Source organism: Homo sapiens, chromosome 5 (assembly GCF_000001405.40).
Source record: "Homo sapiens chromosome 5, GRCh38.p14 Primary Assembly".
NCBI lineage: Eukaryota > Metazoa > Chordata > Mammalia > Primates > Hominidae > Homo > Homo sapiens.
Window position 1 is genome coordinate 89,484,384 of NC_000005.10, and position 26,293 is coordinate 89,510,676.

The 26,293-nt window shown below is 36.8% G+C and overlaps 1 long non-coding RNA gene across 1 annotated transcript, besides 1 other annotated feature; it reads left to right on the plus strand.

Moving 5' to 3' along the window:
• The first annotated feature begins 3,286 nt into the window (after positions 1-3,286).
• Positions 3,287-7,809, plus strand: LOC107986387 (uncharacterized). Its single transcript, XR_001742523.1, has 3 exons — positions 3,287-3,323; positions 6,941-7,032; positions 7,569-7,809. It is a non-coding gene; the product is annotated as an uncharacterized LOC107986387 (long non-coding RNA).
• Positions 3,656-3,856: a silencer, noted in NCBI's record as "peak5340 fragment used in MPRA reporter construct". NCBI's record gives its function as "represses an SCP1 promoter by STARR-seq MPRAs in K562 erythroleukemia cells {active_cell/tissue: K562}" and the evidence as "EXISTENCE:reporter gene assay evidence [ECO:0000049][PMID:32103011]".
• Positions 7,810-26,293: the final 18,484 nt, after the last annotated feature.

Sequence of the window (26,293 nt, forward strand, 5' to 3'; positions counted from 1 at the left end):
TAACATGAGGCCTGTTCATCCAGTAAATATTTAATCCACTCTATTTATTATATGCTTTTAATCTGCCTTTATAGTATATCCATTCATTCCCAGTGAGTTCTCTGTATTGTCTCTTAAATAAAAAGGACAAAGGTTATAAAAACTCTATATAAATATCATACACTTCACATGCTCATATTAAGAACTAGAAAGTGTTGATTTGTACTTTATACCAATCTCAGAAAACATCATAAATTGTAGAACGAAAAAGTATTTATAAAAACAATGTTTCTGTTTTTTGAAGGAACTGGAGAAAAAAATGTATCACACTTTTTTTTAGAGGAGAAAAAATAGTCAGATTAATAAAACCATTAGAATTCATTTAGAGTGTGCATGAGTTGAGATTTTCTGCACTCAGAATCTAGGGCTCTCTCATCTAGTTATTTGAGAAGTGATTATTGTTGGTTTATAAAGTATGCTGTGGTCAGTACATTACTTTTAAAGGAGAAACCACATGATCCTTAAGTGTGAAAAGTAGATGTGCATTACTTATAGTATTTGCTTATGACACAACAAAGCATCAACATTACTTTAACTGTCTTTGTAATGTGCTGCTATGATGCCATCAAGAGAACCAAACTTTGGTAGCTCAAGTTCATGGATACCCTATTATAATGCCATTATGGTAGGAAAATGATTTTAGTGCAAGTTAATGGAAACCACATTACACTGGTAAGCAATTTTATTGTAAGTCTATGAAGACCACATTATGATGGTCAAACAATTTCCCTGTAAGTCTGTGGAGACTGCATTAATAATGCCATTATAAGAGCAAAACAATTTCAAATAAACTCTATGGGGACTCATTTCACTGTCATGATGGTGGCAAAATGATTTCAGTATATGTTTATGGAGAACCCTTTACAATGCCATTATGACAGCATTACAATAGTAAAAAGAAATTATCGGGAGTCCATTATAATGCCATTATAATTCCATTACATTGGTAAAAAGAATTCAGAGTAGTTCTACAGCAACACCGCTACAATGGTAACAATTAGGTCATAGAAAATATTAGGGGGCATGACATTTAAAAAGGAAAAAACAGATCTAGGTTTGGAAAGATCAGATTAATGTCCAGAAAGAAATCACATCTATTCACAAAGTTTTACCTTACTGGGCTCATGTAATTTTATAAAAACTCCTTTGCCTCTAGATTATCCAGTTTGTCACCATACCTGGAAGTATTTGTGATTTAAATTAAACATTAAATCCTTCCTCTAAAAGGTCAGTTATTTTTATTGCTTCTAATATGTTGCCACCTCAAATATGGTGCCCCTGGAGACTCTATCCTACCTGTGGACCTCTGTTGTCTAGGTCTTTGTACATTAGAGAAAAATGAATATTCATCCTCAATAGGGAAGAGGTGAAGATCTTGATCTCTTTATTTCCAAAATGTTCCTTGACCTCTATACAAATTTGCTCTACCTCTCCTAGGTGATCAATACTACCTTTTACATGGGTATTCATTAACAAATTCATAGTTGACTAGTGTTAAAGAAGGTTTTGCTACTGCCATCAGTCATTTCATTTCATGAAGATGAATCTATTATATCATTACTATAGATTATATCCCTATATTCATCCAGCTGATTGATAAGCATGGGCTATTGATAAGAATGTAATGTCTATAAGAATAAGCCTGTGAATAATTGCCTTACACAGTAAAAGAAACTTTGCAGATGTGATTAAATTAAGGATGCTGAGATTGGGGGGATTACCCTTGATTATCTGTGTGCTCCCAATATTATCACAAGAATTCTTATAAGTGGGAGGCAGGAGAATTGACAAAGAAGGCTATGTAAAGACAAGCAGAGACTGGTATGATGAAACAGTAAACCAAAGAATGCTGGTGGTCTCTGGAAGTTATGAGAGTTGGGAAATTGATTTTTCTTCTGGAATCCTCCAGAAAGGACCAGTTCTGCTGATTTTAGCCCCATAAGACTGATTCTAAATGTCTTACCTCTACTGAGATAGGAGAATAAATCTGTGCTGTTTTAGGCCACTAACTTTTTAGTAATTTGTTAAAGCAGCAATAGGGAGCTAACACATTCAGTAAAATAGATTTTTTAATCTGCTGTGAAATAAGCAAATTCAAAAAGTTTGTTCTATTAAAAAGACCGGAGTTATCATCTATGTTCAACTTTTACAACATGGAGAATGTAATAATATATTTTTATATCATCCATTTGTTTGCATATCTATCAGCATTGTAGAATATATTTTAAGGAGAACCATTTAGTTTTTTCCACCCTTATTGTGCTGTTCCTTTTGATTCAAGTACGTAATTCTTCAAACAAGACATTTGGAAAAAGAAGAAACACCAAAAACTTTGAAAACACACAGACTGATACTGACATCAGGAAACTTATGAAACTTAGATGAATATTTTAAACTAACGGTATCTCTAGAAATATCTCATTCTTTCTACAAATGTTTGTTCTTTCTTTCCTGGCAAGGCAGAGAATACATGCATATGGAGATATTTCAGGGGCTATGAAAAGAAGAAAAAAAATACAGAGGGTCAGTCACCCAGTGTGGGATGAGGAAAGTGCAAAATTGGCATGGTGTGCAAAAACAAATCACGCTCAGCATGGGTCACCATGCTCATTTACATTCCCTCACCTTCTTTGCAGTTAGGCTGGGGACATAGAAGTGAGTTCTGGCAGACGAAAATGTGAGTGGAAATTTTGTGTCACTTCTTATTCAGGACATTTAGGAGCTAGTGTCCCTCCTACTCTCTTTGTCTGCTACAACCAATTTGAAAATTGTATGATGATAAGGGGACATAAAAAAAAGCCTCAATCCTTGAATTGTTAAGTGGAAAATAGCCTTCTGCTAAACTATGTTGCATAACTTTTATTGTATTAAGCTACAAAGATTTTGAGTCTTGTATGATTTGGTAGTTAGTATTAATTAACTGAACTGATAACATACACGGAGTAAAAAATTTGAAAATTCCCACCCAACATTATTTTTATATTTGGAATTAACCCCAATTTTTCCAAATGTTACAGTATCTCTTCTGCTACCCCTCACCCAAAATGCATGTATCTTTTAGTTTTCATGCCAACATAGAAGAGCAGGCCACAGGAGACATGACTAAGAGAGATGACTCTTCAAAAGGATGTTTGAAACTCGGTAGAAAAACTGGAATCCTGGAATAGCATCATTTCAGGGAGGGTGTTACATATCGAAACATATTTTGTCACTGCTGTTTAATTTGTTTTCTTCACAGAGAGGTGGAGTCAGATTTGAGAGGCAGAAGAAAGTTTCAGAGCAAGGTAAGTTTGGAAGGTCTAACATCAATGTTATTTACACAGGGAAGAGAAGTGAATCTAGTTTAATGCAATTATGGGAGCTGAATTAAGCCAAAGCAACAAGTATTCCAAAGAAAGATTCATTTTAAGACACTTCAGTGAACTTCGGGCTCCATCATAAAGACTCATGCTTTACCGGTATTCAAGGGTGTGCTGGCATGAATGTAAGCCACTAAGCTCTCCCTTCAAGAGAATCTTCTGTGGGGTGACTTATCCACCTGTAGTACCTTGAGATCCACTGTGTCCTTCCTATTGAGGCCATCTTTCTCCTAACACAATCATGGCAGAAAGAATGAGCATAGTGGGAGTTCTTGAGCCAGGACATTCTTGCCAGTGCTAGACTCTAATAAGCAGCTTTTGCTGGGGAACTTCTTATCACTCTGGCCAAGACTTTCTCAGAACTGCTCTCAGTCTACAAGTTCTCCTTTCTCCCCATTCTCTTTTCACAAGCTTTATACCCGCATTGTGCTAGAATACAAGTCTTGCCTTCTTCTGCTCCCTACTACTTAAGCTTCAGAGATTTTCTCTTATCATCAAGGCTTCTTGAGAGTCCTGAACCTACACCAGTGCTACTGGAAGTTGTGGCTGGGACTGGTTCCCTTACCACCCAGAGAGCAATGAGGACACTCACCCTGAGTAGAATGTGAAGCATGGCTAACGCTTGGCACAAACTGGTTGCCAAACTGCTAAAAATTTCACCATTGCTGATGTTGGGAAAGTGTACTAAGAGAGAGAAGGCCCCTTTCTGAAGTGATTATTCAGGTATTCGAGAGATATAGGGGAGAAAAATTCTTAATAGGGGAGCAGAACTCGCCAGTTATTACCAAGCATTATTGATTCCTTTCATAAGAATAATGGGACATGGTTAAACAGTTAAAGTATTAGAACCAGAGGTACTTTTTTCGTAGCTTAATAGAGTTACAGAACTCCGAATGTGTTTAAATGCTCAGCCAAGGCAACAGGACTCTTGTGATAAATTCTTATTAGGAAAACCTGGGATCTTAAAACAACATTTAAGGACTTCTGCATATATGTGTCCTCCACGGATTCTGACTGTGCAACTCCCTACCCCCTGAAATCTCAGAGCTTACAGAGGTATACCATTCCTCCCTACTATAAGCTAAATTTTCTCCCATAAGGAAATATCTTGCTTAGTGTATTAGTCTGTACTCATGCTGCTTATAAAGACATTTTGGAAACTTGGTAATTTATAAGGAAAAAGAGATTTACTGGACTCACAGTTTCACATGGCTGGGGAGGCCTCACAATCATGGCAGAAAGTAGAGGAGGAGCAAAGGCACAGCTTACATGGCGGCAGGCAAGTGTGTGTGCAGGGAAACTGCCCTTTATAAAACCACCAGATCTAATGAGATTTACTCACTATCACGAGAATAGCATGGGAAAAACCCATTGCCATGATTCAAGTACCTCCCACTGGTCTCTCCCACGACACATGGGGGTTATGGGAGCTACAATCCAAGATGAGATATGGGTGGGGACACAGGCAAACCATAACACTTAGGATTCTTCCTCATATAGTAACAGTTGGCCCTCTTGGGAGCAGCCCCCATATAGTCTCATCACTGCCAATCTGAGTAGCTGGGTGAAATCCTAGCATAGCCTGGCTGAGGATATGCCAAGCCTTTTAAAAAGGTAAGATACCAAACCCCAAAGAGCCTAAGAATTAGCTAGGATGTATTAGCAGGAGCCAAAGAAGTACTCCTTAGGGTTGGATTCTAAGGGTTCTTGATAAAAAAGATTCAAAATGAAAGACTAGATAAGCAACAATTCAATAGTTTAGAGCCCCTTGGGATTTGGGATTCAGCTCCCTAGGGAAAGACCCTAGGGTACGGGTGGCTTGTAAAATCCTGAAGAAGAGGTGGCTATTGCTGAACAAACTCCTGCCTGTGTTTCTCCTGATAGATAGCAGGGGAAAGATTAACAGGCTAAGGAAAGTGATTAGGCTGGAATGGGTACATTTTGTGAGGTCAGAATACCTAACAGAAGATTATTCTGTGGAGAGGCTTAGAGAACACACCATTCACCATGGTCAACATGAATGTATTTTTGAGAGTGTATTCTGTGATCATAATACAGCTGCATTCAGTGGTGGCTCTCCCCGCAGGTCAAGGGTGATGGTGGGAGAGTATTATAAGCTGAAGTGTGTCTCACCCCACAAAAATATGCTAAATTCCTAACCCCCAGTACCTCAAAATGTGAGCTTATTTGGAAATTGGGTGTTTATAGAGGTGATCAAGTGAAAATGAGGTCATGAGGAAGGGCCCTAATACAATATGACTGCAAACTACCAGAAGCTAGAAAGAGCCAAGGAAGGAATTCCCTGTAAGTTTCAGAGGGAGCCTGACCCTGCTTCCCAATTTGGGGTACTTTGTTATACAAGCCCCAGGAAGCTAATTCAGAGAGGCATTCATAGAGCTGGGCTTAATAGCCATGGTGGTGATGGTTCCCTTAAGTAATAGAGACCATGTGGCAGGACTTATATGCCAGAAGCTAGGGGACTGGAATTTCCATCAGTAATCACCAGTATCAAAGGGGCAGTCAAGGGAGTTCAACCTTTAGGGACTCGTAGAGCTGGTTGATAAAGCATGGGATCCTTTGAAGCAAATGAGATGTGCAGCCAATGAAGGCACTGCTTAACATCTGAAATCAGAATAAGATGAGAGGAGTAGGAGACCTCACAAAAAAAGTTACAATTACATGCCCAGTTCCTAACCTAAGCCAAATTTCAGATCTGGAATTTATTGACTAGAAAGGTATCAGGCTTCCAGGATAATGCACATGCAACCCAACTGCAAATATATGTCCGCAGTCTTTCTCCAAAGGGATCTATGGCCATTAACTTAGGTGAGTATAAACTGGAGAAAGATGACTAGCCAGGCATTTTGAAGCTTATTGGATATTGTCACCCATAGGCCCAAGGCGTCATCATAGCCCACTGAGGTAATCAATGGAGTCCAGAACATGGACTGGCTTCAAATGGATCCACTGAGGTTACAAATGCAGCTGGTAGGCATTTCCTTGGTTTCCAAGTGCCTTATTGCAAATTGGCATATTTGACAGTTGGAGTAATCCCCATATGAAGTCCTGGTCTATGCGGTGAGAGCTACTATAGTGGGGAAGGCTTAGTACAAACCTCTGAAACTTACCCCCACACACTCCATCCAAGCTAGTTTGTAAAAAATACCTATCCTGGGCTAGGTGCTGTACTTATTGCTACTATTAAAGGCCTAAAGGTATAGGGATAGTGGTTCCTAATTTACACCTTTTAATGTGCCAGTCTGGCCTCTATAGAAACTAGATAGGAACTCCAAAATTACAAGGGACTTGCACAAGATCTACCAATTTGTAGGCTGATTGTAGCTGTTGTGCTGGACAGGGTATCATTGTAGAATAGATTAAAAATGTATTGGATATTATGCTATAATAGATTTGACAAATGCATTTTTTTTTCTCACCAGAAATGAGAGTCAGAAACAGTTCACATTCACACAGACGGGATGGCAATATTCATTTACAGTTTTGCTCCAGTGTTAACTCTCTCATTTTCTGTCCTAATATAGTCTGAGGAGGTCTGCACCATCTGGACACTGGCCAACACCATAATGATCTGTTACATCAACGAAACAGACTGACTGGGAAAAATGGGCAAAAGGTGGCTAACATGAGGGAGAGACCTCAGTAACACAGGAAAGTTCCAGAGGGTGGAAGATAGGCCCTTCAATAATTAGGAGACCTGCAACTTCAGTGACATCCTTGGGGATCTTGGGGGCATGTCAAGTATCCCTTAAAAATAAAAGACAAATTGCTCCATATTGCATCTCTACCAGCAAAGGGAAGCATGGCTCCTGGTAGGCCTTTGTGGATTTTGGAGGCCACACATTCCACACCTAGTTACACAGCTTGGCCCATGTACTGAATGGCATAGGGGTTGCCAGCAGGAAAGGGCTCTTCAGCAACTCCAGACTGTAGTGTGAGCTGCTTTGTCACTTGGAATTACAATCCTGTAGACCTATGGTGTTGCAAGTATCTGCAATGGGGAAAGATACAATTTGAGGATTATGGCAAGCTGCAGTGCAAGAATCCCAAAGCAAGCCCTTGGGATTCAGGAGCAAGGCTATACCATCAGCAGTAAAGAAATACACACTTTTTGGAAAATATTTTCTGATATATTATTTGTCCTTGGTATAGATCAGTTGGTTAAATACGAGGCACCAAGTGACCACGCATATCACACTGCTGGTTTCTTTTGGACCTACCAAGCTTACCGTCAGACAGGTCGAGCAGAAATTCACCGTGAATTGGAAATGGTACATCTGAGATCAAGCCCAGGCAGGACAGAAGGTACAAGTAAGTTGCATGAACAATTTGTCTCAATTCACATGACACCCACTACTGTTGCACCAATACCTTTCTTGAGCTCATATGTAAGGCCATATGGAGGACATGTTTGATCAATAGAAGAAGGACAAAAAAAGTCTAAGTTTAGTCTATGGATGGGATAGCTTGGTATCAGGGTGCAAGCCAAGTGATTGGCAGTTGCTTTCCTGCCACAATCATGGGTGGCCTAGACAGACAGTGGAAAGGAAGCATCTTCTCAATGGGTGTCTTGTGATTACCCCACCAAAGTGAAATGCAGACCTGATTCAGAATTAGGTTTGAATGTAGAAACTGGTGATGTAATACACATGGAAAGTGTGTGAAATTTTTATTATTCAAATAATGAAGCTTTCTAGGGAGAGCAGGAAAGACTTCCAAGCAGGTCTGAAAATGGATTGAGAAAGCAGGGACTGCAACAAGGATTCTTGCATGTAGACCAGGTCTTACATGGTTTGAACTTCCCACCAGCACAAGGGAAGCACCATTTGGATTTGTTCTTCAGCCTGCCCAGGTGTGAGGTGAAAGCGGAAGAGGGAGTGGTGATACTTAAAGGATGTCAGCAGTAGAACATCAAAAATGGTATCAGCCTCTTTATTACAGAGTGGGAGATAAGTGGTACATTTGATTATCTACTTTGTGTGAAAAAATAAATGCCCTATGATGGTGAGGCAATGGCCAGTGGCCTTGCCAGATGTTCAAGGTTGACACAGAAGGAAAAGGATTTGAAAATTGGACAAGGAAGAAGAGGTATAAACATGTGAATAGATACACGGAAGTAGACGTGACTGGGAATTTTTTTATACAAACATGAACACCTCCCCACCAAAACAAAAACAGAAACAAATTACAAAACAATACAAAAAGATAACCACAGAAAAGGCACAGAACAACCAGGTAAACAAAACAAGCCATCTAATTGACATAGCCTTGGTCACTGGTCACACTGAAACTGCCTCAATGGATAAATGAATTGAGTCGCTATGGTAGTAGAGATGAAAGTACACACGAGCCCAACAGTATGAAATCCTACTGACCAAGGTTGATCTAGCTGCTGACCCTGAATGTCCAACAGAGACCAATACTGAGTCTCAAAAATGTCAATATTTTTTGAGGTGACTAACCAGCCACTTGGTAGCAAGTCAACTGCATTGAGCCCATTTTATCCTACAGGAAGAGCAAGCAGTTCATTCTTAAAATGATAGAAGGCTATTTTCAGCATAGGGTTGCCTTTCCTGCCTGTACAGCCTTACCATGTACCACTATTCTAATACAGAGGGACAAAAATCTCACACAGTATAGCATTTAACTGAACATCAACATAGCAAAAGAGGTACAGGAGTGGGCCCAGGGCAAAAAGATCCATTGGCCATGTCACATACTATGTAATTCAGAAGCAGTAGGTCTTGTACAGTCTTGGTGCAGACTACTGAAGACACAGCCAGAGGCAATGTTCTTTAAGGATGTGGTGTAGTTTTTCATGATGCAGCACATGTATTAGATCAGATTACCCATTATGAGCATGTCTAGATGGTGCTGTGTCACCGCTAGGAAGAACAAAGGGTCTAGGATTTAAGAGATAGAAGCAGCAGTGGCCCCTATAACAACTGCTTCCAATGACCTACTTGGGGACTTCATGTTTTCCATTCCTGCAATTCTGGACTTTTTAGAATTAGAGTTCCTGGTCCTCAAACAGGGCATATTCTTGCCAGAGGACACAAGAAGGATCTCATTAATCTACAAGCTATAGCAGCTTCCAGAACTCTTTGGACTTTTTGCATCCAGAGATCAGAAGATGAGGAGTCACCACCTTGCCAGGCATAATTAACCCTGATCAGCAAGATAAGGAGGGCTGCTTTTACACAATGAGGGCAGACACAAACACAGGCATATACCATAGAGTGACACTTCAGTGAATGATGGACCACATATATTAGAGTAGTCTCACAAGCCTATAATGGAGCTGAAAAATTCCTATTACTTAGTGACATCATAGATGTTGTAAAGCATTATGTTTCATGAGTGATGCTAGTATTAACAAATATGCTGCATTCCCAGTTGTAAAAAGCCTAGCAGATACAATTACGTATACAGTTCATAATACTTGACAATGATATTAAATGACTATTTTACTGATTTGTGTATTATACTATACTTTTAACATTATTTTAGGGTGTACTTTTTTTACTTATATTTAAAAACTTAACTGTAAAATAGCCGCAGGAAGGTCCTTCAGGAGATATTCGACAAGAAGATATTGTTATCATGAGATGACAGTTCCATGTGTGTTATTGCACCTTGAAGACAGAAAAGATGTGGAGGTGGAAGATAGTAATATTATTGATCCTGAACATGTGTATACCTAGGCTAATGTGTGTGTTTGTGTGTTATTTTTAACAAAAATTTCAAAAGTAAAATAAAAAATTCAAAAATAGAAAAAATACTTAGAGAATAAGGATATAAGGAAATAAAATAGTTTTGTACAGCTTTATAATACATTTGTGTTTTACACTAAGGGTTATTAAAAACAGTCAAAAAATTAAAAACAAATTTAAATGTTTATAAAGTCAAAACATTACAGTAAGTTAAGGTTAATTTATTATTGAAAAAGAAAACTTTTTAAATAAATTTAGTGTAGCCTAAGTCTATAGTGTTCGTAAAGCCTACAGTAGTGTATAGTAATGTCCTAGGCCTTCACCTTCACTCACCACTCCCTCACAGAGTCATCCAGAGCAATTCCCATTCCTGCAAGCTGGGTAAGTATCATATAAATGGTAAGTGCCCTATACAGGTACACTTTAAAAAAAATCTTTTATATCATATTGTTACTGTACTTTTTTTATGTTCACATATTTTACATATACAAAACCACTGTATTACAAATGCCTACAGCATTCAGTAGAGTAACATGCTATACAGGTTTAGCCTAGGACCAATAGGCTATACCATATAGCCCAGGTGTGTAGTAGCTTATACCTCTAGGTTTGTATGAATACATTCTATGATATTCATATAACAAAGAAATTGCCTAATAACACATTTCTCAGAATGTGTCCCCATCATTAAGCATTGCATGACTATATATGTAGAATCCACATGATACAAGAGGGTACTTTTTGGTACTCACTTGCCCTGTTGTAATTATAAATAAACAGATCAAGGGCTCAGTCCTCTGAGGATTGAAGGTTTATATAAGTGTACCAGAATGACCACTAAAACCTGCTAAGTTGATGGCTGAAGGTGAAGGAATTTTAGAATTGATGGTAAAGGAGAGGAAGAATGAGTACTAGTTGTGGCCCTTAGACCAACTACAGCAGAGGGTTGTAGTTTGTCTCACTGCCCTTCCTCATCTAAGTTTCCGTTCAGGAGCTGAGAACCATGTATTGGAGAAGGTCCTTGCCCAATAGAAATAGAAAATTAGATCTTCCCAGGGCAAAGGGTAAACTCTATGACCGTGGAGTTGTGTCTTTTAGATTTCCCTTTAAGATAAGTTGCTGTGAAAGCATAGTTGATTGATAGTCTATAGCAGCCATGGCTTCAAATCCACCCTGGCACTTATCCCAAACTGTGCTTTTTCTGGGCTTCTCTAAGATGATGACTGGGCATAGCAGTGGTGTTATATCTAGACTTTTCCTGTATGACCCTTTAATGGGCAACTTTTGCTTGGGAACTCTCCATTGATCTGGAAGTCTCAGCACTGCATTGCAATTTGAACCTTTTCGCATTTAATCTTCTTTCCTTTCCCTTCCTCACTCATAGACTTCAAACCCACAGTATGGTGTGATCAGAAGAGATCAGTAAAGAAAACTACTAAGAAAACTGGCTGATAACTCAAACCCATATTATTTGTGAATCTGAGCTAGAGTTGAGTGATGCTAACTCATATCTCCATCAATGTTTTAGTTGGTTTATAGTTGATGTCCTGGGATTTTCTGGAGCTGTAATCAAACACCGGAAACAGTACTTGGATTTTGAATGGATGTGTTGGGGTAGAAAGTACCTCAGGAGACATTCTTAGAGGGAATTAATCTGAAGAAAACTCTGATTGCAAAATGGAGGTCATGGAAAAGTACTAACAATCTTTTGTTGAGTTTACATTGCATCGGAAAATGTCCCATGTGAAAATTTTAAAATATTTTGCACAGCTATGAAATGATGAGAACTTCAATACTGAATTTACTGCTGTGCCCAACTTTTCCTATTGCCTACACCTAAATATTGAATTCAAAATATAAAAATCCTAAACCACAAAATATATGTAGAGTCCCCTTTATAGTACTGATTTCTCCAAGATTATTGCTACTTTTTAAAATATCAACACTTTTGTTTAAAATTAATTAATTTTCTTGTTGCTCTATTCATGGGCTTACCCTGGCTGTTGGACAACCCAGAATTGCTGTGTGCTGGTGAAGACTGAAACCACATCAGTAAGGTACAGTGAGAGTTTAGTATTGATACTTTCATATATAACCTACTTTGTTTTATATTCATTTCTACTCAAAACAAAAACAAAAGCAAAAAAAAAAAAAAAAAAAAAAAAAAAAAAAACAGAGAAATCAGGCTTTCTCACACCACATCCCAAAGTTGTCTAGTAAATCACTGCATGCAAGTAAAGCATTGTATGCAGGTAATACACAGTATATGCAGATCTTTCTTTAACCTTCAAGTTTTGTATCTTTCTGATATTGATCCTGGGAGACAGTTAAAAGAATTTGTCTCATGATCCTCTCATGCACAAGGGGAGCAGAGCAGACTGGTGTTTAGATCAATAAAGATGTCCTGGGTGTCCTTACCTGTAACAAGTTTTGAACTTATAAGCAGGTGAAGCATAGCAATGTTTCTCATAGAGAGACGCAGATTTGTTAAGGAAGGCATCTCTCCCTGGCCTCCCATTTTGTATTTGACTACAATGTGTAATTAATCAAAATATTTGTAGGAAGTTTTATGGAATATGGCAAGTGGTGAGTTAAAGGTTAGGGAAATGGGAGAGGGTAAAAAAAAGTACAGTACATTTTCTTTTGAATAGAATTTATTATTGAATTTAAAATTCTATATGAAAAGCCCCTATATGCAACTGCTCAACAACTATAAAGCTCTTGCAAATTTGGTGTTCAGAAGGCACTCAATAAATATTGATTATTTCTTAACAAAAATAATAAAAACAACATTATAACTAATGCTGCGTGTTCTAAAACTGTTTCTTAAAAGTAACCCATAAACAAACTTCTAGGAGAAAAGTGAAATGCCAGAATAAATGCCCGATTGCCTATATTTAATTATAAAGGTAGAAAAAATTGCTAAAAGATAGATTGGAAGATCATACCAGGCTTTTCATGTAAATGAATCATCCTGAAATCAAAGCATGGAAGTGTTCAATATCACTGGTATGGGACTATTAAAAGTTACTAGTAATGTTTCAGGATTGTTTAAACTTTTAACCAATCTTAATCCAACAAAGGTTGTAGGCAATCTAAGTTAAAAACCACACTCATCCCTGGAATTACGTTAGGACCAAAGCCGTGTTTCCGATCAGCATTTAATGGTTCTCCTGACAATGTATTTGGTTAGAAGAATAAAAATATATTAGCATAAAGCAGAACAGGAAAGAAAAAAAATTCCTCTGGAAATAGAATAAATCAGATTTGAGGTTGTCACCACAAATATTCAAGACAAATTTCTCCTTAATTCTATTTTATATATAAAAAAATAAGACATCATACAGCATTTATGTTCCTGTCTCCCCTGCCAAATTTTTCAAAAGCGTACTTTGGATATTTATGGTTTGATGAAGTCTAAAAGAAATTGTTTTAATCTTTTTCCTTTTGGTATTAGCAACTATGTGTAATTTCAGAGATACTTAATTCATATGTTTCTAATCCATTTGCAATTAAAATTATTTTAAAAAATAACTTTTGAAGCTTTTAGAATTTTTTCCCATGAAGAAAATGAGGTCATGCTTTGCCAAGAAGGTATGAACTTGAATATTCAAAAGTTTAAGTTAGGTTTAAAGTTTCAACAACAAGAACATTCACTGGGCTCTCAACTCAATATATAAATAAGTTCTCAGGTTTTCTGTTTCTCACCTGCTAAACTTCCCAGGGTTATGATGTGAGTCTTAATCAATTGATTCAAGCCTCTCTAAAGGTACAAAATATTGGATTTTGTGAAAGGGGGAAGCTATGTTTTAAATAAATCTGTCTGTAATCTTTGCGATATAGGAGAGGACACGGTTGCACTTCCGAAGAACAGAGCTGGGCACAAAAATGTAGCCTCTTGAAACCCATTGGCACCACTTATACTCTCTCCTCAGTTCTAACAGATATTAAGATCTAAGTTCAGATGCATTCCCAAGCCATGTGCACCTCCACCAGTGTGTCCTAGGAAGCCAACTCTCTCCCAGACAGTGGAGATTCCACAGAAAGTTATCAAAAGCTAGATTCAGATACACTTTGCACAACAAAGTGCTTGTGCTTGATTCTATTGAAGCCAGTATTAAATTGGTCTTAGACTATTTGAATAAAAATGAAGCTCATGTTTATCTCCAGAAAGGTTCTGACTCTATTTTTTTTTTTTAATAAGAGAAACTATTAGCATATTTCTAGAGAATGATCACATAGGCTTCTGACACTGAGGTGGACCTGCACCTGGGTCCAGAGCTGAGCTACACTAGGAGAGTCCTCAGGCATCTGCACCTCGCCCTTCTGCATGGCCCATATTTCCCTGATTTTTCCAGGGTAGCAGAAGGTACAACAATGGTCTGTTGCCCTGGAAACACTGCACCGTGGCTAGCCACAGGACTTTCTTGGCTTGCGCTGGGGAGTTGGACAAGCCCTACTTGACTGCTGTCGTTATTAAACACAGGAGGAGAAAATAGTAACCATTAAGTGCTTTACAAAATGCCCTACTGTTTATACCCATGTCTGTCCTCCTAGTTGCCTTTAAGGCCCAGGGTTGGGACAAAGTCTATCTTTATTTTATGCATTACTGACAGACTAAAGAGAGGGCAAGGAGTGTGCTGGAAAGGACACTGGATTAAAAGTCATAAGATTTGGTTTTAGCCACAAACCAGTTGTGTAACCTTTAGCAAGTTACATAAATTAAGCAGTTCTCAGTGTTTTCATGTGAAAAAAAAATGACCTGGTGATCCTTTGGTTTCCTTATGTCTGTATAAAAGTATACAGTTCTGTGTTTCTAAGTGGTGGAAGTGGGGTCAGATGGAGTGACAGAACGTCCCTTACTAACACATGTATCATTTTCAGGGAAAGGTTAGGCTGTGCTCATGTCATGCTAAAATTAAAATTTCATCCAATTTCCTGGCGTTTTAATTTCATGAAGGGCAGAATTGGTGCTCCCATGTATATAGATAGATGAGTTGTGGTAGGTCAGTCTGGAAAAATACTCTGCTTCCATCTGACAGTGGCCATAAGAGATGGGGAAACAGAGGCCAGTCAGTTCATCTCGTGTCAGACTTGAAAGACCGCTTGTGCATTTATGCTTAAAAGAGCTGACTCAGGAGTGCTGTGACAGCCTTTAACTTAGAATTCTCTTATTTTTCTGGATTTCTGTCTCCTTCTTAATGGTGTTTTAATGCAGTTTTTGTGTTCAATTATAATAGTGTTGCTAAATACAGTAGGTCTGATTCCACAGAAGAAGAATAGTTTTTTCAAAATCAGCATTTTCCTGCTGATTTGCCAGCTGTTTCAATAAATACTCATCTCCCAACTTCAAACGAGTATATTGCACTCTTACTAAATATAAATGCCATCCACAGCTACTGTATTCTGGCTTTTGAGTTCTCCACAAAATCTGCACTATGAGGGACCCCTTTCTCAACTATGTGCAGGTGATTTTGCTGACTCAGGTGTCCTGAAGAGTAGTCGGTGTTTGTTTTTCTAGTCATTGCTTCCCAATGTAAATGTCTAAGTATAGGCAGGTGAATTAGAACCTTCTCCTATGGTTTTGTCATCTCTACTAGTTCTATCTCTGAACCACAAGAAATGATTAGTCAGGGCAGCCTAAAATTATAATAATAATATCGTATCTATTTTATAACTGTTTTTTAAAATGACTTTGACCTGCCTGATGAGATAGGATAAAATATGAAATAGGCTGCAAGCATAATTGTTTTTCTTTTGACATAATAGAAAAGTAAGATATATGATTTCGGTATAAGGAGCAGGCATTGTTAAAATAAACTAAACTGATAGCATGTATTATATGCAATATAAACTTTGTACTGTTGTACACTAATATAGTAATAACCCTGGCTAAGGACCAGCAGGAACATAAGACTATATTTTCAGCCACACATTGTTTTTCTCACAGTCCTCATTGAATTGTATGTGTGCATTTTTCTTATTTTTAATCAGCATTACAAGAAATACAAGTAATTAAGCCTTTCAATATCTCCTAACAATAGTAAAAAGGCAGCTATAGTAATTGCAGTAAGCATATTTGTTGGTGTTTGTATTTAGAAAAATACTAGTTGGTCTTTTATTTGACAGAAACTGAAGCTGGAGAATTGTTACAGAAACAAATGCAATTCAGAAACAAAGTTGCTTCCCTTAAATTTTTTTTGTTGCAATTCTACACTTTTGAGTAAACATTTCTATCCAAAAGAGCAGTCAGGTTAATTAAAGGAGAGTAGGAATTGCTGGGTTCTTGGGTACTAGCCCCCACTGTTTGAGCCTTGGATTGATAACAACTCTGTGGTAACTATGTGTCCACCACCACCAGGCTGACAATTTTCCAATCAAACTGTTTTTACCATATCCTCAGACAATGAGGAAAATGTGAGGCCCTAAGGTACTGAGCCAATGGCACTGCACTAGCAGACACATGGGTGGCCAAGAGCAAATGGCCAGAAAACACTCTTACTTGGTAACATGTTGTTTTCACAAAATGACATTAGTAGCCCACCCTGAATTCTTGATCCACAGACTATCTACACATAAAAACCAAGTTGAGAGGGCAAGTAGCCTGAATGCAAACTACCAGGTATTGACTAGATTTGGCCACTTTTGGTCATTGGTTTTTGTCAAAATAACTGACCATTTAAATGAATTCAATCATTTGCAAAATCAGTTTGTGGATGCAGACAGAGCCACAGTCTAACATAGTTGACATTCTTTTCCTTGCAGCTGGAATTAGAAATTAGACACTTTTTTAGACTCTCATCCATTCATAGCCCATTTTCTTTGCATACTTTATGGTTTGAGATTTCTGAAATAAATTTTATATGCAAAGTTTGATTTAAAATGTTTTAAATCAATGTAAATGGAATTGTTTACAGTATTTTCTACAACTTTTATCAGATGATCATCATACTTACATTAAAGCATACACATTTAGAAACATTCTTCGGTTTAATATGAGGTTTATAGATAAAACTAGTTTAGTATAATTGTTACACCTTATCTGGAAATTTTGGTGTTATGATTTGCAATTTAAAGAAGAGTTATCTTTCTGATTGTTTAAAAAAATCCTCATTAGAAATTTTGAAATGACTCCACTTTTTAACACTTTTGGATTTATTTATTTTTTATTTTTATTTACTCCTTCCACTGGAATGTAAGCTCTTTGAGGTGGGGGCTCTGTCTATGTTTTTGATAGTTATACACTGACTGCTTAGAGTAGTGCTTGTCCTGCAGCATGCTTCCCTCAAATACATATTATATTCAGACATTTCTAAAATTGTATTATGTGCATAATGGGTGCCAAATGCCACGGCAGATTCTAGGGTCGACCACCAAGAAAAATGCAGGCTTTCTGTACAAAAGATTCTGACAATCAATAAAAAGAGAGATAAGTGAAAAGATTACTACAATATATTATACTTTGTTAAGTGTAAATATGGAAAGGCGTACATGGAAACACAAAGAAGTCTTCCAAAAACAAAAATAGGAGAATTATGGAAAATGACCCATAGTAAGTGATGTCTTGGGTAAGATTTAAGACGAAGAAGAATTGAACAAATGAAGGGGCAACAGAACAATGGCTGGAGGAGTATCCAGGCAACTAACTCTTGAAAGGCCATGTAAACTCAGTTTTTACAAATGGACTTTAATTTAAAGGTAACAAATTCAGTAAAAATTGGTTTATAGGAATATGTCATAGAAGAGGTGTGTTTTAGAAAGATTTTTGATTGTCGTGTGGACAATAGGTGGGAAAAACACTGAAAGAATCCAGTAGGAAATAAAGCAAATTTAAAATAAGCCAATGACTTTGCAGCTGAAGAAACTTAAATGGATTTGAGAAATATTTAAGAAGCAAGATGAAAAGCATTAAGAGTCTTATGGGTTTAGGGGATGGGGAAGAAAGAGCAAGTAGAGCTAAGGGTAATTCCCAGTATATGGCTTAGAAATTTGGATGGATCATGGTGTCATGAAATAAGATAAAAAATACAGGACAAGTTGTTTATGGGGGTTGGTGTTTGGGAAGACTCATAAAATTAATTAGGAACATATTTAACTTGAGATTCTAGGGTCACTCTAAAGTGGAAGTGCCCAGTAGAAAATGAAATACATGTATATGGTGCTAAGGAGAGTGATGCAGGATGAGAGAAGGCGCTTGGAAGTCATTAACACAGAGATGGAAGGAAGGTCATCAGGGAGAAGGAGAACATGAGAAGAGGGCTGAGGATGGAATCCTGAAGAGCACCAAAACATGAAGAACAACTGTGAAAAAGAAGAAAACCAAATGAGTATGATAAAATGTGTAACACTAGAGCCCAGTTAGAGAAACAGCAAGAGAAGTACATTTTAAGGGGAATAAAGACAGTGTCCAAAAGGGCATTAAAATTAGATAAGATGAAGACAGGAAAAATATTGAAAATAAAGATTCTTTCACATTTTGCAATTAGGTGGTGATTGGCCAACCACACTGAAATAGAATAGTGCAGTCAGTGGATTGGAAAATAAAGATAAGTTAGTAAGTGAAAGACAGATTCCTTTTTATGGATAGAGTAGCACGTGAAAGAAACTGAGTTTAAAAGGCATAAAAGATTTACAGAATAGCATTTTAGTTTTCTCCGTGATTATTTGTTTCAATATTGAATAGACTTAAAAGAGTATAATTAAAAGAATATTGTCTGTGATTTGGTGGAAGGTGATGGAATCCAGGCCACAAGAGATATTATCAGCACTGAATGGAAGAGAGACAACATTTCTGTGAGATGTTAGGGAAAGAGTGAAGTGCATGTGGTTGAAGGTTAAGTTGTTGTTGGTGGTGTGGCTCATGGTTTTCATTTTATCTTTGATGTCAGGCTGATGACAGGGGAAAAAGCTTTAGTAAGTTAGTAATTTTTTGAAATAAATTTTATATAGAACACGATAGTGTCATTCTGGGGTGCATTTTTCAATATAACAGCATAGGTTTAATCCTACACAAATTAGATATCCTCAAATTTTATGTGTAGTGATTGCTTGTTAATGTCTACAGTCAAGCTCAGTCTTCTCCAGACATATTATCTCGATTACAGTTTATTCCCACTGGCCACCTACCTGTACGGTACCCCTGGGCAGGAGATGAATGTTAAGATAGTAAGAGTAGGGGAAAAGACAGTGGAATAGGTAGTCAACTGACTCTGGCTTTGAAACTTGCTTTTCTATTGCTTTGTGGGTGAATATGCCACCACCAGTCTGAGCCTGAAATTCCTCATTCTGTGAAACTGGAACCTGCTGTATTCACAGAATAATTAGGATGATGAAGAGGGGCCACACACTTAAGATTCCTATACAACATAAGATATTCTTTTAAAGAGTAGTGTATTTCACAGTAGAACCATCTAGATCAACCGTGGCTGATGGTTCAACTATGACTCATTCAACTGATCTTTTAGAATCCATTAGAGACAAATCAATATTTATTCTTGCTGGATAATCCTACATTGTGAAAACAACTTTTAACTAAGGTTTATTTTTATTAAAATAAACATTTTTACCAAGGTGCTCTAAAATTTGTAGCAGAACAAATTCAGAAATGATAGCCAATTGTCTAAAAACCTTTCATTTTATCATCTTTAATTTACCATTAAATTAAAGTTGCAGTGCAGTCTTTACACCTAGTATAGTAATGATTAAAGTTATGGTCAGAGTTAATTAATTGATGACTCAGCTGTGGCCAAGCACTGTACTAAACACAATGATACTTATAGTAATCTATGAGACTGGAGATTCACACTTTTTAAAAATGAGAAGTCTGATCTTTAGAGAGATTAGGTAACTTTTATTCCAAAGTCATAGCTAAGTGGATTTGAGCTCAGATCTTTTTGATCCGGATATTCATTCTCTCAATCATGGCACTCTCTCTCCCAAAAGCATACTGTACTGGGATCAATCTATATTTATAGGTGTGTGTGTGTGTGTGTGTGTGTGTCATGTGTGTGTGTGTGTGTGTGTGTATATATATATATATATATATATGACATAAGTAGCATGAGGGAAGCAAGGCTGGGAAGCAAAAAAGGCTAAATGCAGAATGGCCATTATTAAAAAGTCAAAAAAAAGCAATAGATATTGGCATGGATGTGGTGAAAAGGGAATGCTTATACACTGCTGGTGGGAATGTAAATTAGTAAAACCTCTATGGAAAATAGTATGGAGATTTCTCAAGGAACTAAAAGTAGATGTACCATTTTATCTAGCATTCCCACTACTGTGTATCTACCCACAGGAAAATAAGTCTATATCAAAAAGACATCTGCATGCATATGCTTATCACAGCACAATTCACAAATGTAAAGATATGGAATAAACTTAAGTGCATATCAATCGATGAGTGGATAAAAAATGTGGTATATACACACCATGAAATATTACTTAGCCATTAAAAAAGAATGGAATAATGTCTGTTGCAGTAAGTTGGATGGAGCTGGAGACCATTAGTCTAAGTGAAGTAACTCAGGAATGGAAAACCAAATACTGTATGTTCTCACTTTTAAGTGGAACCTGAGCTATGTCTACACAAAGGGCTATAGAGTGGTATAATGGACACTGGAGTCTCCAAAACATGGAGGGAGGAAGGGAGCTGAGAGATGAAAAACTATCTATTGGATGCAATGTACGCTACTCAGGTAATGGGTGCACTAAAATCTCACCACTATACAATTCATGCATGGAACAAAAATCTAGTTATACCCCAAAAGGTATTGAAATAAAAATATATGAAATAAATCTAAAAAAGAAAAAACTATGGGAACTAGGAAAAAAATACACAGTTATAGGGTATCCAGCAACTACTACTATCTGGTTGGAGATACTAAATATTCACTCATGAGTTGGACTTAAACATATTTACAAGTTAATTATAACCATAATGATATGTGGGATATCATCAAATCTATTAATGTCAGTTCAGGCCCATATCCCTGACCTTTAGGACCAGATAGCTAAGTACTTCCTGAACACCTGTATATTCCCAGATGTATGACCTTCAAGAACAACGTGCCAAAAATCTAAACTCCTATGTGCCCAACCACCTTCCTCTTCACACCAAATTATTCTCCTATATAGTCTGTTTGCAAGAAATGTAGTATTTACGTTAGACACCAGGTATTTGCTGACAATATCTGGTTCCTTCATTATCTTCTAATCAGTCATAAATTCCTATAGTCTAACTTCTTAAAATCTATTTTTTCCAGCTTTAATAACACTGCTTTCATTTAGACTTTCATTTTCTTTTACCTAAGCTATTGAAATTTCAATTTATTCACTAAATACTTATTGAAATTTACCAGGTGCCAGAAACTGCTCTTGATGCTGAGGATACAGATGAAAGTCTTGTCTTCCTCAAGCTTACATTCTAGTGGGAAGAAATGGAAAGTAAAAATAAATATGATAGATAAGTGAATTACATACATATTAAAATATGATAAATGCTGCTTGATCTCATCATGCTGATCTATCACCTGCCACATCACTGGATTTAACTTCCCAAAATATATCTCACTATATTAGGTCCCTACTGTTTCCAAGCTCAGATTTCTTAGCATAGCACTTAATGTGCCAAAAGATAAAGCTTGTTATTTGAGCAGAGTCAACTCATGTCACCTTAGGTTTCATTTTTATAAAACTATTTTCATTTTGAAAGTTCATCATGATGTTTTATACCTCTTGCATGTGCTGCTTCTTCTCCAGTTTAGATTGCAAGCTTTCTTCTATCCCTTTTTCTGGGTGGACACTTAACGAGATTTAGACTTAGTTCATGTTAATAGCTCTCTGAAGACTTCCTGGAACTCACATACAAGGGAGACATGAGATTACAGTATCTCCAGTGTATTCCAATGGCATCCCATGCCTACTTCTGCCATCCCACCTACAATATTATATTGAATATTTTGATACAAGATGCCTGTATCAGTCCTTCAGCTCCTGGACTTCATGGACCATATTTGCATTGCCAGTATCTAACAAAGTACTTGCCATAAGCTGGGTATGAGATTAATATTTGCTAAATGAACAAATTAACTATACCATATTGAGGAATTAAAAATTGTCACAACCAGGACCCTGTGTTTTAATCATTGAAAAAAAATCTTATCTCAATAAATGCAGAAAAAGCTTTTTTATAAAATTCAACATGACTTCATGTTAAAACCTCTTAATAAACTAGATATTGAAGGAACATACCTCAAAATAATAAGAGCCATCTGTGAAAAACCCATATCCAACATCATACTGAATGGGCAAAAGCTGGAAACAATCCCCTTGAAAACCAGCACAAGACAAGGATGCCCTCTCTTACCACTTCTATTCAACATATTATTGGAGGTCCTAGCCAGAGGAATCAGGCAAGAGAAAGAAATAAAGGCATCCAAACAGGAAGAGAGGGAGCCAAACTATCCCTGTTTGCAGGTGACATGATTTTCTATCTAGAAAGCACCATAGTCTCAGCTCAAAAGCTCCTTCAGCTGATAAACAACTTCAGCAAAGTTTCAGAATACAAAATCAATATACAAAAATCACTAGATTCCTATACACCAACAACAACCAAATGGAGAGCCATATCAGAGAGCCAATCCCATTCACAATTGCCACACACAAAAATAAAGTACCTAGGAACACAACTGACCAGGGAGGTCAAAGATCTATCCAATGAAAATTACAAAACACTGCTCAAAGAAATCAATGACACAAACAAATGGGAAAATATCCCATGTTCATGGATAGGAAGAATCAATAACATTAAAATGGCTATACTGCTCAAAGCAATTTACAGATTCAATGCTATTCCTATCAAACTACCAATGACATTCTTCACAGAACTAGAAAAAAATATTTTAAAATTTATGTGGAACCAAAAAAGAGCCTAAATATCCAAGGCAATTCTAAGCAAAAAGAACAAAGCTGAAGAAATCACATTACCTGATTTCAAACTATACTACAAGGCTACAGTGGCCAAAACAGTGGTACTGGTACAAATACAGTCACTTAAACCAATGGAACAGAATAGAGAGCCCAGGAATAAGGCTGCACATCTATGACCATCTGATCTTCGACAAAGCTGACAAAAACAAGCAATGGGGAAAAGACTCCCTATTCAATAAATGCAGAAAATTGAAGCTGGACCCCTTTGTTACCCCATATACAAAAATCAACTCCAGATGGATTAAAGACTTAAATTTAAAACCCAAAAGTAAAAAACTCTGGAAGACAGCCTAGGCAATACAATCCTGGACATAAGAACAAGCAAAGACTTCATGACAAAGACACTAAAAGCAATTGCAACAAAAGCAAAAATTGACAAATGGGATCTAATTAAACTTAAAGAGTTTCTGCATAGCAAAATAAACTATCAATAGAGTAAACAACCTACATAATGGGAAAAATATTTGCAAACTATGCATCTGACAGAGGTCTAATATCCAGCATCTATAAGGAACTTTAAAATTTTTACAAGAAAAAAACAACCACATTAAAAAGTAGGCAAAGGACATGACAGACACGTCTCAAAAGATGACATACATGCAGCCAACAAACATGAAAAAAAGCTCAACGTCACTGATCATCAGAGAAATTCAAATCAAAACCACAATGAGATGCCATCTCATACCAGTCAGAATGGCTACTATTAAAAAGTCAAAAAACAACAGATGCTGGTAAAATTGCAAAGAAAAGAATACTCTTATACACTGTTAGGTGTGGTGTAAAATAGTTCAACCACTGTGGAAAGCAGTATGGTGATTCCTCAAAGAGCCAAAAGCAGAACTACCATTCAACCCAGTAATCCCATTGCTGGGTATACATGCAAAGGAATATAAAACATTCTACCATAAAGACACATGCACATGAATGTTCACTGCAGCACAGTTCACAATAGCAAAAACATGGAATCAACCTAAATTTCCATCAATTACAGATGGGATTAAGTAAATGTGGTACATATACACCATGGAATATTATGCAGCCACAAAAAGAACGAGATTGTGTCTTTTGCGGAACATGGATGGATCTGGAGGCTATCATCATCAGCAAACTAATGCACAAACAGAAATCCAAATACCAGATGTTCTTACTTATAAGTGGGAGCTAAATAATAAGAACTTATGATACAAAGAAGGGAACAAGAGACACTAGGGTCTACTTGAGGTGGGAGGGTGGAAAGAGGGAGAAGACAAGAAAGATAATTATTGGGTACTGAGCTTAATACCTGGGTGATGTAATAATATGTACAACAAACTCCCATGACACGTGTTTATCTAACAAACCTTCACATGTACCCCCAAAACTAAAATAAAAATTTTTTAATAGGAAGAAAATAATCTTTCTAAAAATCGCTTACTTTGCCTCACAGAATATAATCATCATAGCTTACATTCACAGCCACATTTTATATGTCAGGCACTGTCCTGTGCACTTCATATGTATTATTCCATTTAATTCTCACGAGAACCTTTGGAAGTAGGTGCTGCCATTATTATTTTTCATAGATGAGGAAACAGACACAGAAGTTAAGCGGTCTCTTGAAGTCTGACTTCCAGACCCAGCCTCTGGAGCCCTACATGTACTATCTTCCCCTACATAATTATGTATTACATTTATTCATGGATGGTCCCCCAAATTAAAGATGAACTGAGAACTTCTAAAATAACTGATTTATCTGACTGATGGAGATTATCATATTGGATGATATGATATGACTGCTCCCAATCCTCATCTGAGCCTCACTTCTAATTTACTTTGAAGGTTAAAACTGTCATATTTTCAATTCCTTTTACAAAAACTCTCATTTACATATAATTTACACATAGTTTCACTAGAACTATTTATTCTTTTAAAATCAGGGTAGGCAATAATTTTACATAAAATAATTTTACATAAGCCCACATTTTAAGAAAAGTATATATTTCTTGTTACACAGAGAAATTGCCTGGCAGATATAAAATTATTACTAAGTCTATATACATGTGTTTGAATATGGAAGTACTTAGCTGCATGGTTTCAAATATATAGAACACTCCTTTTTAAATATAATCAAATGGTTGCACATACATGCAAACCTGTTATATTCTATTTATACTTCTAACTGCAGAATCTAGAAACAGGCCTAATAACTTTTTACAATGAAAACACCATATTTGTGAAAAAATTAATTCAGCTTTTACTTCCCTTGACCCATGCATGGGCCTTAGGTAGGTATAGTCCTAGATATAAAAAGGAGAGAAAACAATCCTCCTTTTTATTCTACTTTTTCTTAGCCATGTGAAGCCCTGAGTAAAACTGTGGAAAAAATGTGAAAATTGTTTGTGTCATCACCAGACCAGTCATTCATTTCAGGGATTGCAGGTAGGATGCCACAATAGGGGAATTTTAGGCACCAGAAAACTGTTGGTAGTCATGCCATGAAAATCAGAGGGGGATTCAGGAGGACAATTAAATCTATTGTGAAAATGAAGGCTTTTCATTCCAAAAAATAAAAATGGCATGAGTGAAATAGAGTGAAGCAGGAAACACACAGCATGTGAACGCATGAAGACAGACACAGATGACAAGAAGCAGGCTCTGCTATGCTTGTTTTAATTATGGATCCTGTGCAATCCCTGGTTGCACTGAACTTAGAATAAGATGAATACACAAAATTTACATTCTATTCTCCTTAAATTCACTGCTTAGTATCTTTAGGTGTTCTTCTTATTGAAGACTTTTATGGTTAATTATTTTTAATTAATGCCTGCTTCATCCCTTTTGTTAGAACCAGACACTCTTAAAACCTAAGGTTATATTTTAGTCATCTTTGTATCCTAATTATATAGCATAGTGTTTATTTTATAATGCAAGTTCTATGTATAAATAAATATTCACTGGATAAACAAATGAGTATCTTTAGCAGTGGGGTCACTGACTTTGTTATACTCGTCTGTTTAGTAATTTATGCTCTGAGCATGGTAACTTTGAATATTGGCCTTAAATATATGAATATTGTGATAGCACCTTTTAAAATGATGGACCTGCCACCATACTTAGCCTTCCTCTGGGAATTGTCTCCAATGCAGACAGGAGAGGTTCCTTTTAGTAGTTTTATTCATCCTTCCTGAATGTGTG